This window comes from Homo sapiens, chromosome 19 (assembly GCF_000001405.40).
Source record: "Homo sapiens chromosome 19, GRCh38.p14 Primary Assembly".
Lineage (NCBI taxonomy): Eukaryota > Metazoa > Chordata > Mammalia > Primates > Hominidae > Homo > Homo sapiens.
This window is the reverse complement of record NC_000019.10, coordinates 11,798,427-11,814,011: the sequence shown is the minus strand read 5'-3', so window position 1 is coordinate 11,814,011 and position 15,585 is coordinate 11,798,427. Positions and strand designations below refer to the sequence as shown.

General features: G+C 44.1%; 1 protein-coding gene across 3 annotated transcripts, besides 3 other annotated features; it reads right to left on the bottom strand.

Annotated features, from left to right (window-relative positions):
• Window positions 1,639-1,748: a silencer, noted in NCBI's record as "silent region_10132". NCBI's record gives its function as "represses an Ori minimal core promoter by ATAC-STARR-seq in GM12878 lymphoblastoid cells {active_cell/tissue: GM12878}" and the evidence as "EXISTENCE:reporter gene assay evidence [ECO:0000049][PMID:35858748]".
• ZNF491 (zinc finger protein 491) lies at window positions 5,509-15,489 on the bottom strand. 3 transcript variants are annotated; one of them, XM_047438144.1, is made up of 3 exons: window positions 15,285-15,489; window positions 9,345-10,515; window positions 5,509-8,065 (listed from the first exon to the last, which is right to left on the bottom strand). In XM_047438144.1, exon 3 carries the CDS (start codon window positions 8,056-8,058, stop codon window positions 6,745-6,747), a length of 1,314 nt encoding a protein of 437 aa, XP_047294100.1. In that variant the 5' UTR covers window positions 8,059-8,065; window positions 9,345-10,515; window positions 15,285-15,489; the 3' UTR covers window positions 5,509-6,744. The 3 variants fall into 3 exon arrangements, with proteins under 3 accessions (XP_047294100.1, NP_689569.2, XP_005259787.1); NM_152356.4 differs by having other exon boundaries at window positions 9,345-9,470; XM_005259730.5 differs by lacking the exon at window positions 9,345-10,515.
• Window positions 15,228-15,387: an enhancer, noted in NCBI's record as "active region_14035". NCBI's record gives its function as "activates an Ori minimal core promoter by ATAC-STARR-seq in GM12878 lymphoblastoid cells {active_cell/tissue: GM12878}" and the evidence as "EXISTENCE:reporter gene assay evidence [ECO:0000049][PMID:35858748]".
• Window positions 15,398-15,497: an enhancer, noted in NCBI's record as "active region_14034". NCBI's record gives its function as "activates an Ori minimal core promoter by ATAC-STARR-seq in GM12878 lymphoblastoid cells {active_cell/tissue: GM12878}" and the evidence as "EXISTENCE:reporter gene assay evidence [ECO:0000049][PMID:35858748]".

The window sequence follows — 15,585 nt, the reverse complement described above, 5'->3', positions numbered from 1 at the left end:
TTTCAAGGCGACTTGCTCCTTATTGTTAGAAGAGGCACTGTTAGCTTCCTCATTCAAGGGGCTGTCCCTGCTCCTTCCTTCTGCACGGGATCACAAGTGTGTGCAGGGCATTTCAGACTCAGTGTTCAATGGAGAGATACGCTTGCCTCAGAGCAGGAGGGGAGCCCAGACCAGGCAAGGCACGACTGCACCAGGAGAGAGAGGCAGATGTCTTCCAGCGTGCGGGAAATGGGATGAGGCATGGCCAAGGCTTCCTCACACTGCTATGGACTCCAGCAAGGTTTTCCTTGTAAGGGAGCTAACCAAGCCAGAACTTATTAAAGATTTAGAGGCTCTCAGTACTATGTATATCTATCCCTGGTGCATTGACAGTGACTGAAGACCCATTTTTCAGGACATGCTGTGTAGGACTGAGCCAGGGAACATGATATAGCATGGCACTTTTATCTCACATATAACCCCCAAGGAGCAGGGTTAACTGAAATGAAAGATGGTCTCAGGGGAAGCTGTAAATGAGAAATTCTGTCATAGAAATTATGATTTAGGCAGGCCGGGCGCGGTGGCTCATGCCTGTAATCCCAGCACTTTGAGAGGCTGAGGCAGGTGGATCACGAGGTCAGGAGTTCAAGACCAGCCTGGCCAACATGGTGAAATCCTATCTCTACTAAAAATACAAAAATTAGCCAGGAATGGTGGCGCATGCCTGTAATCCCAGCTACTTGAAAGGCTGAGGCAGGAGAATTGCTTGAACCGGGAGGCAGAGTTTGCAGTGAGCCAAGATCGTGCCACTGCATTCCAGCCTGAGACACAGTGAGACTCCATCTCAAAAAAAAAAAAATTATGTTTTAGCCATCTTTTTTTGAGACGGGGTCTCACTCTGTCGCCCAAGCTGGAGTGCAGTGGTGCGATGGCTACTCAATGCAGCCTCAACCTCCCAGACTCAAGCAATCCTCCCACCTCAGCCTCCTAAGTAGGTGGGACTACAAGTGCCTGCCACCATGCCTGGCTAGTTTTTTATTTTTGGTAGAGATGAGGTCTCATTCGGTTGTTCAGGTTGATCTCAAACTCCTGAGCTTAAGTGATCCTCCAGCCTCAGCCTCCCAAAGTGTTGGGATTACAGGTGTGCGCCTGGCCTCTTGGGCATCTTCATTGCTCCACACCTTACAATGATAAATTCAATATTCTGTGAATATTTCCTGGAGAAATTAGCACAGCCATAACTTGTGATAAGGTAAATCAGGTGTTGAAATTTGAACATTCCTGGAAACTTCATTTAATAAACCTAATTTTGCTTATGTGTGAAAGTATTCATACATATTCATTGTTCAGACACAGATAACCATGGCAAGATGAGGTGCTATGAAAAACTATGTTGGGACAACAGGTACTATCAAGGATTATCACTGGCAAACCGGGACACATGGTCAGATGATTTCTGAGGCAGTTTTGTACCTTATGTAAAGGTAGAAAGTGTTGGAACTAGAAGACATCGAGCTGGAGTCAGTTGCAGAATTGATGCTTTGCTTGGCATGTGGGGGACACTTCTCAAATATTTGCATTTGGTCACAGAAGTATTCCGTGTTGTGTGAGAGCAGAGGAAAAAGAGTAGACTTTTTTTCCACTCTTAAGTCTCAGCACAACTCAGAAATCCAGTCCCCCAGACAGGATGTGTGGATGTTAAAGTCGCCCTCACCACAAGAGGGAGCTTCATTGACTTCCCCTATCTGGAAAATGGCTCAAAGGTGTTTTCTAAAAGACTTTTTAATGTAAGGCATATCAGTTATTAGAAATAAAGGTAGGACAGGTGTGGTGGCTCACACCAGTAATACCAGCATTTTGGAAGGCCAAGGTAGGAGGATCGCTTGAGGCCAGGAGTTTGAGACCAGCCTGGGCAACATAGTGGGACCCTGTCTCTACCCGAAAAAAGAAAAAAAGTTAAGGTAACATCACTGAATTTGGTTTCATTTACATGATTTTTCTTTTCTTTTCTTCTTTCTTTCTTTCTTTCTTTCTTTCTTTCTTTCTTTCTTTCTTTCTTTCTTTCTTTCTTTCTTTCTTTCTCTCTCTCCCTCTCTCTCTCTCTCTTTCTTTCTTTCTTTCTTTCTTTCTTTCTTTTTTTTTTTTTACAAGGTCTCCCTCTGTCACCCAGGCTGGAGTACAGTGGTGCAAACAGAGCTCACTGCAGCCTTGATCTTCCGGACTCAAGCAATTCTCCCACCTCAGCCTCCCAAGTAGAGCCTGGGACCACAGGTGTGCGCCACCAAGCCCAGCGAATTTTTGTATTTTTTGTACAGATGGGGTTTCACTGTGTTGCCCAGACTGCTCTCCAACTCCTGGCCTCAAGTGACCCTCCCACTTTAGCTTCCTAAAGTGCTGGGATTACAGGTTCTGAGGCACCATGCCTGGCCAATTTAATTTTTCATAGATTGATTTTTAAAAAGTAATGAACCTGGCTGGGCATAGTGGTCATGCCTGTAATCCCAGCACTTTGGGAGGCTGAGGTGAGTGGATCACCTGAGGTTGGGAGTTCGAGACCAGCCTAGCCAACATGGTGAAACCCCATCTCTACTAAAAATACAAAAATTAGCTGAGTGTGGTGGTGCATGCCTGTAATCCCAGCTACTAAGGAGGCTGAAGCAGGAGAATCGCTTGAACCTGGAAGGTGGAGGTTGCAATGAGCCGAGATCACACCATTGCACTCCAGCCTGGGCAGCGACAAAGAGAGACTCTGTCTCAAAAAAAGAAAAAGAAAAAGAAAAAGAATAAGCAATAAACCCTGTGAACTTTGATTAGATTTCCCAGATCCTAAAAAGTGCAGTGTAACAAAAAACTGAATGGAAAGAAGTAGGACTAACTGAGGTGAGAGGAAGAACCCTCTGTGGAGGTGACATTTGAGGTGACCTGATATAATGTATTAGTATAAAGAAAATGTTAAAATGAACATTATGGGAGGCCATTGTTTTGGACTGAGCTTCTGCACTAGGCACTTAGAAACCAGATCAGACCAAAATGGAGTCACTCATGCTAAATGCCACATAACGAAACTGAAACTTAAAGGAAGCGAATAGATCCCTATACAGATGAATTTTTCCATCGAAAACCAGTTCAGTATCCTGTTGGCCAGACTGGTCTCAATTTGAGAAACATCAAGACACCTCCATAGTCAAGGCTAATAATGTCCAGGCTGTGTCCTGTTCATCACCTAAACCTGCACCTCTAGTGTTCCTTACCTTCACTGGCCATCCCAACACAGTGCCCGCCTCCTGTAGAAAATCACATCTGGAGTGAAGTTGGTGGCGTTGTTTGTACTCTAACCAAACTCTCAGAGTGCATTTGGCCTTCAAGGGAGAAGGATGAGGTCGTGTTTGGTTTCAGACACACCTAACTCTGTATTACCATCTCTTTCTTGATCTAAGCGACACTCTATAAAAACTGATAGGCAATGGGCTGGGTGCAGTAGCTCACGCCTGTAATCCCAGCACTTTGGGAGGCCGAGGCAGGTGGATCACAAGGTCAGGAGTTCAAGACTAGCCTGGCCAACATGGTGAAACGCCGTCTCTACTAAAAATACAAAAATTAGCCGGGTGTGGTGGCGGGCACCTGTAATCCCAGCTACTTGGGAGGCTGAGGCAGGACAATAGCTTGAACCCAGGAGGCAGAGGTTGCAGTGAGCCAAGATCGTGCCACTGCACTCCAGCCTGGGTGACAAAGTGAGACTCCATCTCAAAAAAAAAAAAAATGACAGGCAATGACAGTACCTTTCACTTATGTTGATACCTAATCTGGGGATGGATGTGTCATCTGCACATAGAGTCAGGGGTTGGTCACTCATTGCTGCTCTGTCCTGTGGTACCAGGTTTTGACTCTAGGGGGTTTCAAACAGGCTTCTCTGAAGAAGAGTTTGGCTGGCACTTCAAAAAAGTGATTGGATTGGTCCATGCCACTGCATAATATATAAAACTAACTTTTCCATGTTGCCTATTACTCTACAGTGTGGCATAAAAGGGTTGCTGAACTCCTGTTCGAGATCAGCCTGGGCAACATGGTGAAACCTTGTCTCTAAAAAAAAAAATACAAAAATTAGCTGGGCATGGTCCCAGCTACTTGGGAGGCTAAGGTGGGAGGATCGCTTGAGCCCAGGAGGTGGAGATTGCAGTGAGCCGAGATCACGCCACTGCACTCCACATAGCCTGGGTGATAGAATGAGACCCTGTGTCAAAAAGAAAAAAGAGGGGTGCATCAAGAGCATATTATCTGAGCAAGAAAGGCTTGGTTGGAATAGTGATACTGACTTTCATCCTTCCTAGGCGTGCATTCAGACAGTTACATAAATATATTGACCACACTTGACTCAGTAAGGAATTTCTTTAAAAGTATTATACAGCTTCCTAAGGAGTAAGTGATTTTATATATTTTTAACTGGAGCATTTTGTGGAACAGTGTTCATACACTCTAAGAAATATCTTAGGTTTTGGAGAATAAGTAAAGCAAAAACAGGTCCACAAGTCTGGGAGCTGCCTCCCCTCACCACAAGGCCAAATCTTAAGCCATGTCAGACACCTGCAGTGTGAAGCAGTGCTCCTCAGTGACCATGATGGAGCAGGACAAAAACGAGGGCATTCTGTAACCACGTCCCTAGATGGGATAGAAGAAAACATATTTCAAATCATAAAAATAACCAAAAATTCCAGTTCCCCTCTTCTCATAATGGACTGACCAGCAATTGTCTTCAATTAGGTTTACCTCCAATCCATTCTTTCTCCTTCTAGGTGAGAACTACTATGATTAGCAGTGGTACAATTAAGTTCACATCCTGACAGCATCCAATATACAAAAATGACTCACCTCCTTGAATAGAGAACAATGCACCTAAAACAGAAATCCTGTAAGAAATTCTACAGAGAACCCTCTTATTGGTATGTCCTGCAGTCATTTATGGCTTGTGGTCATATTTATTACTACAATTTATTACATCCTCTTTGACAACAGTTTTTTTAGTACTGGTGGTTTTGGGCAACACAGCACCATAACAGCAAGATTTAACTTCGGGGATTATAAAAGAATGACAAATTATGGTCAAGATAAAAATTGTGGCTGGGAACAGTGGCTCACGCCTATAATCTCAGCACTTTGGAAGACTGAGACAGGAGGATTGCTTTGGCCCAGGAGTTGGAGACTAGCCTGGGGAGCATAACAAGACCTCCTCAGTACTAAAAATTAAAAAAAAATTAGCCAGGCATGATGGTGCACACCTGTAGTCCCAGCGACTCAGGAGGCTGAGGCAGGAGGATTACTTAAGCCCAGGAGCTCAGAGCTGCAATGAGCTATGATTGCACCACTGCACTCCAGCCTGGGTTAAAAGGCAAGACCCTGTCTCAAAAAAAAAAAGGTAAAAATTATAAGTAGATATGCATGAAATGTATAATTTACATCAGGAAATAAATGAGGTTTATACACATGGTGATATTGATTCACAATATCAAACAAATAATTTGGTAACAGTATACATTTGATCTGATCCATGTTGACAAGGGATATTTTAATAGAGCTTCTCAGTATACAAAAAAAAGAGAAAAACATTTGCAAGTACACAACTGAAAAACAGTGAATAAACCTTTTTTTTTTTTTTTGAGACAGAGTATTGCTCTCTTGTCCAGGCTGGAGTACAGTGGCGTGATCTTGGCTCACTGCAACCTCCACCTCCCAGGTTCAGGAGATTCTCCTGCCTCAGCCTCCCGAGTAGCTGGGATTACAGGTATCCACCACCACACCCGGCTAACTTTGGTACTTTTAGTAGAGATGGGGTTTCACTGTGTTGGCCAGGCTAGTCTCAAACTCCTGACCTCGTGATCCGCCCACCTCGGCCTCCCAAAGTGCTGGGGTTACAGGCATGAGCCACTGCACCCAGCTGAATAAACTATTTTTAAGAAATATGTACAGAAATCTTTGCTCCCTCAAAAATACACATTGTCAATCACATATAATCAAAGATAACTGAAAATGAACTGAGGCATTACATTCTCCTGTGGATAACAGGAAACACTGGACATTTCCTGACCAGAGCAAGGTGTTCCTTCTCACATGAGAGTCCTGGATGAGACCAGTCACTGCACAGGGCAGCAGAGCTCTCATCAAGTTGGTTCTGATGGCAGCATAGTAGCTGTCAGGCTGAATCAAGAACAAGGTCACTACCAGCAGGAACAAAGGTGCATGTAAACAAATCACACCTCCTACCAACTCAATCTGCAGACTAGGGGAGTTGAGCATCAGAGAACATTCCCCACCCATGACAGTCTGCATTATCTCTCTGGTATGTACATTACAATACTTAAAGAAAAACCAAACTGTAGATAGAACTTGAATGTGGAGCTTCTGGGGACATCTTTGGAAACCTACACCTCTGAAAAAAGGAAAGTCAAGAGATTTGGAGGATACTCTTGATTGACAAGCCAGAGAATCAGGAAAATGGGCTAGAATCAGGGGGCCACACAGCCCATGTGAATTTGGCTGGCTCTAAAATGTGACTAAGGCCTTCCTCATGTCTGCCTTCGAAATCATATGTAAGATAGGCCACCAGTGAATCCCAGCGTGGCATCACCTAACTCCATCTCTACATTTTATTGCCTTCCTTTATTGACACTTCAAGCTGGGAGGGATGCTTGAGGCCAGGAGTTCAAGACCAACCTGGACAAGATAGTGAGACCCTGTCTCTATTAAAATAAAAATTAAAAAATAGCATTTCTCTCATATATTAATAGTGTGAGTTCTTTCATGTTTTCGACAGTAACTGGAACGAATGAAGGCTTTCCCACATTCCTTACATTGGTAAGGTTTCTCTCCAGTGTGAATTCTTTCATGTATTCTAATATATATGGAACAAGTGAAGGCTTTCCCACAATGCTTACATTCATAAGGTTTTTCTCCAGCGTGAGTCCTTTCATGTCTATGAAAGGAGCTGACACAATGAAATGCTTTCCCACATTGCTTACATTCATAGGGTTTCTCACCAGTGTGAGTCCTTCCATGTATTCGAATGTACTTGGCAGATCTGAAGGCTTTCCCACATTGCTTACACCCATCGGGTTTCTCTCCAGTGTGAGTCCTTTCATGATATTGAAACGAAGTGGAACAAGTGAAGGCTTTCCCACATTGCTTGCATTTGTAGGGTTTCTCTCCAGTGTGACTTCTTTCATGCCTTTGAAATGAACTGGGAGAGTAAAAGGCTTTCCCACATATCTTACATTTATGAGGCCTCTCTCCAGTGTGCATTCTCATGTGTCTTCGAAAGCTTATAAGGCGAGATAATGCTTTCCCATATAGTTTACATTCATAGGGTTTTTCTCCTGTGTGAGTCCTTTCATGCCTGTGAAAAGAACTGGGACAATTGAAGGCTTTCCCACATTCCTTACATTTGTACGGCTTCTCTCCTGTGTGTGTCCTTTCATGTCTGCGAAAGGAACTGGAAAAATTGAATGATTTCCCACACTCCTTACATTCATATGGCTTCTCCCCAGTGTGAGTTCTTTCATGGATTCGAACAGAACTGTGCCAACTGAAGGCTTTACCACATTGTTTACATTCATATCGTTTCTCTCCAGTGTGAGTTCGTTCATGGGTAAGGTATAAACTGAGACAATCCAAGGCTTTCCCACAAAACTTACATTTATAAGGTCCATCTCCACTGTGCGTTACCATATATCTTCGAATGCTTGCAGGAGAAATGAAAGATTTTTCACATTCCTTACAATCAAAAGGTTTCTCTCTAGTGTGAGGCCTTTCATGTGTTCGAAAGCAGTGGCTATGGCTCAAGGCTTTCCTACGTTGTTTATGTTTATATGGCTTCTCTAAAAATTTCTGACACTTATGTGGTTGGTGTCCAGTGTCAGTTCTGATGTTCCTATTAAAGGATGAATATCCCATGAAGATTTCTCCACATGTACCACTTTCACATGATTTTACTCCAGGAAGAGTTTTCTTGTTCAGCATGTCTTCCGGAACCTGGGTGAAAGTTTCTCCACACTGACTACCTTCTGCACTCTCAAAGAGTCTCTCTCCCATAAAATTTCTGTGAAAAATGCCAAGCACATAATTAAGGGTCTGTTTATAAGCGATTTAATATTTGTTAATAAGTATTACACTTGCATTTTTAATGTTTTTGTTTTTTTGGTACAAAGTCTCACTCTGTTACCCAGGCTGGAGTGCAGTGGTGTGATCATAACACACTGCAGCCTTCACCGCCTGGGCTCAAGTGATCCTCCCACCTCAGACTCCCCAGAAAGTTGGACTACAGGTGTGTGCCACCATACCCAGCTAATTTTTTATTTTTGGTAGAGATAGAGTCTTGCTGTGTCTCCCAGGCTGATCTTGGGCTCTTGACCTCAAGTGGTCCTCTTGCCTTGGTCTCCCAAAGTGCTGGGATTACAGGCATGAGCCACCATGTCCAGCTGCATTTTTAACATTATCCCATGAAGTGTAGACTTTCTGCCCTGTCTGAATTGTTTAAACATGAATGGATCACACATTCTACAAGATGGCCTGTCTATATCTATCATCAAAAAAAGAATATTTACATGAGGTTTCTTTTTTTTTTTTTTTTTTTTTTGAGACGGAGTTTTGCTCTTGTTGCCCAGGCTGGAGTGCCATGGCGTGATCTCAGCTCACTGCAACCTCCACCTCCCGGATTCAAGCGACTCTTCTGCCTCAACCTCCCGAGTAGCTGGGATTACAGGCATGTGCCACCACGCCTGGATAATTTTATACTTTTACTAGCGACAGGGTTTGTCCATGTTGGTCAGACTGGTCTTGAACTCCCGACCTCAGGTGATCCGCCCACCTTGGCCTCCCAAAGTCCTGGGATTACAGGCGTGAGCCACCACGGCCAGCTGAGGTTTCTTAATACTATTTCCAAGTAAGCTATTTTATGAACATTAAACCTCTATATCACATTGAAATATATGTTTTTCGAGAAAACTTTCTAAGAATAAATACATTTTATGCTGAGCTTATTTCTTTTGTTGGCTTCTTTTTAACAATTTCTGACAATCTGAGATTTTCTTTAGAGACATTTCTTTGTCTTGTGAGTGTAAATTATCTTAGATTTCTCCTGGGATGTTTGTATTGATCTTCAATGTTCTGGTCTTTCCATTTTTTCCCTAAAAAATAGTCCTGAATTAGTATAAGATTATTTAAAAATCATTAGATTCCATGTTTATGGGACACTGCAGCCATGCCTGATTTGTTCATCGAAGGATTGCCTATCCATATTCCAAATCCCTGAATAGCACTGATGAACTAGAAACATATGTTCTACAATTCACTGAGGGAGGTAATATTGTCACCCCTACCTATACAGATGAGGTTCGTGAAGGTTTCCTGCATCACATCTCTGTAGAGATCTTCTGGAAAGGATTCAACAAGGCCCACTCCTCCTGGGTGAAGTTCACAGCCACATCCTCAAAGGCCACTGGGTCCTGAAACATCTCACATGTGTAGAGGAGGATGGGTGAGAGTGACAGCACTGGGGGCCTAGACTCTATTCCCAAGAAGTTCTCATGATGCTGTGGACTCCAAACATTTATTCCCTGCCTCTGTCATCAGACCTCTTACTCCCCTGTCTACACTCACTTCCTCTCAAACAGCAACTTTGATGCCAGAGTGTAACTATGGGTAAAGCAACAGCAGAATAGGAAAATGTAGCCTTCTGCCACGTGAGGACACAGCAAGAGGATGGAGTTCATGAGGAATGGACCCTCTGGACATGGTACCTGCCAGTGCCTTGATCTTTTTTTTTTTTTTTTTTTTTTTTGTCTGAGATGGGGCCTCACTCTGTCACCCAGGCTGGAGTGCAGTGGCGCGATCTTGGCTCACTGCAACCTCTGCCTCCCGGGTTCAAGCAGTTCTCCTGCCTCAGCCTCCTGAGTAGCTGGGATTACAGGCACGCACCACCATGCCCAGCTAATTTTTGTATTTTTAGTAGAGACGGGGTTTCACCATGTTGGTCAGGCTGGTCTCAAACTCCTGATCTCGTCATCTGCCCACCTTGGCCTCCCAAAGTGTTGGGATTACAGGCGTAAGCCACCGTGCCTGGCGTGCCTTGATCTTAGACTTCCCAGCCTCCAGAACTATGGAGCTGAATTGGCCCTCCTCCCTTGGACCTGTGCTGGACTTAGTGACTCACTTCCAAAGAACAGAGTATGGAAAGGGGTAAAAATAGTAACTTTAAAGTGGAGAAACCTGACAAACACTGCTTCAATCAAGTGATCAAGGTTACTGTCACCAGGTGTATCAAGTGATGAGCCTGGACACTTCACCTTTGTGGCATTCTCCTGCAAAACACCTAACTCCAGTCTAATCATGAGAAAAATTCCAAATTGAGGAACATTCTATGGAATACCTGACCAGCACTCTTAAAACTGTCAAAGTGATTTTAAAAAACAAGGGAAGACTGAGAAATTGTCACAAAGCAGATCAAGGAGACATGAGAACTAAATACAGTGGGGTATACTGGATTGGGTCCTGGAATAGAAAAAGGATATTAGTGGAAAAACTGTTGAAAATCTGGAATTTCATTAATAGTAATATACAAATGATAACTTCTTAGTTTTGTTGGACCATGGTTATGTAAGATGCTCACATTAGAAGAAAATGGGTGACGGGTATATGGGAACTTTGTAGATTATCTTTGCAAGTTTTCTATAAATCTAAAATTATTCCAAAATAACAAATTTATGGCCAGGTATGGTAGCTCACGCCTGTAATCCCAGCACTTTGGGAGGCCAAGACAGGCAGATCACCTGAGATTAGGAGTTCAAAACCAGGCTGGCCAATGTGGCAAAACCCCATCTCTACTAAAAATACAAAAATTAGCCGGGTGTGGTGGCAGGCGCCTGTAATCCCAGCTACTCAGGGAGGCTGAGGCATGAGAATCACTTGAACCCAGGAGGCAGAGGTTGCAGTGAGCCAAGAGAGAGCCACTGCACTCCAGCCTGGACAACAGAGTGAGAGTCCATCTTGGAAAAAAAAAAAAAAAAAGAATAGGAAAATGTCTCTTTTTGGTGAATCCGGAGAGAAAGATGTGTTTCCTAGGTACCCCAATGTCTCTCTGTACATTGGGTGTGTAGCATCTTTTGTAACAGAGTCCTACTAATTCATGTGCAGAGAAAAAGCTCACAACAGCAGTCCTGAGACTACATATACTTGAAAATGTGTGTTCACAAAGTTTAACCTTTGATGGTATCTGGAAAGTGGATTTGATTCTCATTCAAACAGCACAGGCAAATCCAAAAACAAACAAAAACCGAATTTTGCATGGGATCTCACCAACCCAACTGATTAAGAGAGTCATAACTAACTGAAACAGAAACCCATGACCAAAACCATTATGGGAAATAATACTGGGGTAAGACAACATAAATTGTAATTGATGAAGTGCTGAAGGCTGAATGGGGACAAGGTTTAGAGGTAAAAACTCTGTGAGGGGGCAGTCTTAACAAAAAGGTAATGTGATTTATGAAAATTAAGAACTTTTGTGCAAGGGAACACACTATCAACAAGGGAAAAGAAAACTCATCAATTTGGAGAAAATGTTGGTAAGTCATATATCTGGTATGGTCTTAATTTTCAGCAAATATAAAGAATTTCCATAATTCAACTATAAAAAACACATCAAACATGCCAAATGGAAAGCTTTGATGAGCATGCTGACAAACTGGAACCTATGTACACTGTCCAAGGGATTGTAAAATGGCTTAGCTATGAAAAACAGTATGGCAGTGCCTCAAAAATTAAAAACAAAATTACCAAATGTTCCAGCAACCCACTTTTAGGTCGAATTATATTCAATTCAAAAGAATTAAAAGTAGGATCTCAAAGAAATATTTGAAAACCATCGATGGCTGGGTACAGTGGCTGATGCCTGTAACCCCAACACTTTCAGGAGGCTGAGGCAGGAAGATCAATTGAGCCCAGGAATTTGAGACCAGCCTAGGCAACAGAGTGAGATCCAATCTCTATAAAAAATAAAATAAAATGAATTGAAATCCATTGTTCACAACACCCAACAGGTAGATCAACCTAAATGCCAATCAATGGATGAATGGATAATGAAAATGTATATATATATACAACAGGATATTATTTATTCTTATAAAATGACATCCTGTCCCATACTACAACAGGCATGAAACTTCATGATACTAAGCTAACTGCAAAAGACCAGTCAGAAAAAGAAAAATGCAGTATGACTCATCTTAGAGAAGTTATATAAAATTGTCAAACTAACTCAATGGTACACTTAAAATGCTTGAGCTAGTAAAATTTTTAAGGTTTTTCTTATTGTAATTAACTAGAAAAATTATTGTACCAAAAAGGAAAACTAATTGACTAAAATATGGGCAATGGCGCGATCTTGGTTCACTGCAACCTCCGCCTCCCAGGTTCAAGCAATTCTCCTGCCTCAGCCTCCTGAGTAGCTGGGACTATAGGCATGCACCACCATGCCCAGCTAATTTTTGTATTTTTAGTAAAGACAGGGTTTCACTATGTTGGCCAGGCTGGTCTTGAACTCCTGACCTCATGATCCACCCGCCTCAGCCTCCCAAAGTGCTGAGATTATAGGCATGAGCCACCACATCCAGCCAAGCAATGGATTTTAATGACATTTCTCCCAGACATACACAAATGGCCAACAAACACATGAAAAGATGATCAATGTCAAGAATCAGCCATGGAGTTTTACCCAATGTCATTTTGGGTAGTTACTGAATAGTTTCCTCTCATAAAAAATATTCATAAACAAAATATAATTTTTTTCTTTTTAAAATTTTATTTATTTATTTAATAGAGACGGGGTCTCTCTATGTTGCTGAGCTGGTCTTAAACTTCTGGACTCAAGTGATCCTCCCACCTCGGCCTGCCAAAGTGCTGGGATTACAGGTGTAAGCCAGCATGCCAAGCCCTAAAGTTTTTGTTTTTTTGAGGAAAATTTTCACCCTGTCTCCCAGGCTGGAGTGCAGTGGTGCCCTCAAGGCTCACTGCAGCCTTGGATCTTCGGGGCTCAAGCGATCCTCCCGCCTTAGTCTCCCGAGTATAGTAGCTGAGACTACAGGAATATGACACCATGCCCAGCTATTTTGTTTGGTTGTTTTCAGTAGAGATGAGATCTTGCTATGTTGCCCTGCCCACTCTGGTCTTGAACTCCTAGGCTCAAGCAATCCTCCCACCTGGGCCTCTGAAAGTGCTGGGATTACAGGAGTGAGTCACTGTGCCTGGACTAAAATTTTTAAAAAATGTTTTCTTTCCCGTGTCTCTACTAAAAATACAAAAATCTGCCGGGCATGTCGGCACATGCCTGTAATCCCAGCTACTTGGGAGGCTGAGGCAGGGGAATCGCTTGAACCCAGGAGGCCGAGGTTGCAGTGAGCCAAGATAGCACCATTGCACTCCAGCCTGGGCAACAGACACAGTGAGACTGTCTCAAAAAAAAAAAAAAAAAAAAAGTTTTCCTTATTTTCAGAGGTGTTGATAACATTTTTAAATAGTGCTATTCATTTGTCTGTGGAAAAATGATAAAATATGGCAGCTGTTTCAAATGTAGCATGGGAAACACATAATTGATAAGGATGTCAATTGGCGAGGGGAAGTTGGTGTTTTTGAATGTGAGGAGAAAACCAGAAATTTAGGGATTTACTGTCATACCTGGGAAGAACTAGGCTGGGAGAGGGGTCCCAAAAACTCCCTCTTTGATCAAACTAGTCAGGCTCCTCAGAGCCCCCCTCTTCTTGAGTAGACTTTGGCCTTTTCCTGCAGAGCCCTGTGGTAGCAAAAACCCTTCTAAGGGAGTTTAGAGAAAATTCCCCCAAACCTGATATCCAATCAAGTCCCTTTTCCCTACGTTTGACAATCTCTTCCCTAATTCTTGACACTAAACCAACTTCCATCCTCTCCCTCACCTTGCCTATTAGCTGTAAATTCAATACTGTCGTTGATGCAGCCTTCACCTCCTGGGCTCAAGCAATTCTCCTGCCTCAGCCTCCAGACTAACTACAGAAGCGGCCATCATACCTGACTAATTTTTTTTTTTTTTAACAGAGTCTCGCTCTGTCGCCAGGCTGGAGTGCAGTGGCACCATCTCGGCTCACGCAACCTCCGCCTCCTGCGTTCAAGCGATTGTCTTGCCTCAGCCTCCCGAGTAGCCGGATTACAGGCACGTGCCACCACGCCCAGCTAATTTTTGTATTTTTGGTAGAGTCGGGGTTTCACCATGTTGGCCAGGATGGTCTCGAATTCCTGACCTCGTCATCCGCCCGCCTCGGCCTCCCAAAGTGCTGGGATTGTAGACGTGAGCCACCGCGCCCGGCCATACCCGACTAATTTTTTAAAATATTTTGTACAGACGGGGTCTCGCCATGTTGTCCACGCTGGCATCACCTTGCCTTACGCTGGAATGTTAAATATACTCTTTTAAATTGGAAAGGAAATGAAACCCAAATGTAAAGAAAAAAAAAAAAAAGCTCTATGGGGGCGGGGGGAGGGGGGCGGGCCAAACTCTGATTAAATTGTTGTGCCTCACAAACTAGCCTTGTATAAAAAACGTTGTAATCCTGTTAAATTTCTTGCCTATATAAGCAAGAACTTAAACTTTTAAATTTGAAACACTGAGCCCATTTCCGTGGATCCTGTGTTTTCCCAAATGGGCCATTCCCAGCTTCTTGCTTGAGTAAACTTTAAAAAACTGGAATCTGATTCTTTTATTTCAGGTTGACAAGTCCACATACGGCGACAGCATCACTGTAACTAATCAAGTATTTAATCCTGTTTGCCTCCTCATGCAACTTATAAAAGCCTTTTCTTCAATCACAAGCCATGACCGGGTGTTTCTCACTCGGAATCGCTGTTGCTCCAACAAACTCTTTAACTGTTAACAGAGCCTCAGTTTAATTTTTAGCAGAAGAAAGGCGGGACACATCCGACCCCCCATGACCCTCCCGTGGCCCCCGCACAATCTGGGAAGACGCCGGGCTGCGGGCGCGGAGCTGCCCAGAGAGGACTCCGGGGCCGGGGCCGCAGTCGCCGCGTAGGGACGGGACAGGACGCCCGGGGTCCCAGCTGCGGGCCCAGCCCCACCTGGCGGCCGAGCGGACCGAGGGCCAAGCCACGCCATGGGGGACGCGGGTCCCAATCGCCGGGGTCGCCCGAGCGGAGGCCTGGGTCCCGCCACAGCAGGATCCTGTTGGTTCCACCCAGCCCCTCTTCCACGTATCTGGACGCTAGGCCGGGCACTTTACCATTTCCCTGCTTCTTGGTGTCCCGGCGTCCTCTTTATGACTCCGGAGCAGGTCACAGCGCAGGTGACAGCGTCACAGGAGCCGTGGCGGAGGCACCTGGGGCCTCTCGGAGCAGCAAGGACTGGATGCAGAACGCAACGGACCCCAGCAACAAAGGAGTGCAGAGACTCTGAGTGCGGCCTTCTGCTTCCCCGGATTGACAGTTGGCAGGGCCCCGTCCCAGGGCCCCTGATTGGATGGGGTTCCAGGCTCCGCCCCTCAGCCCTGAGTGACAGGGTAAGCCCTGGGTAACGGAGCCCTG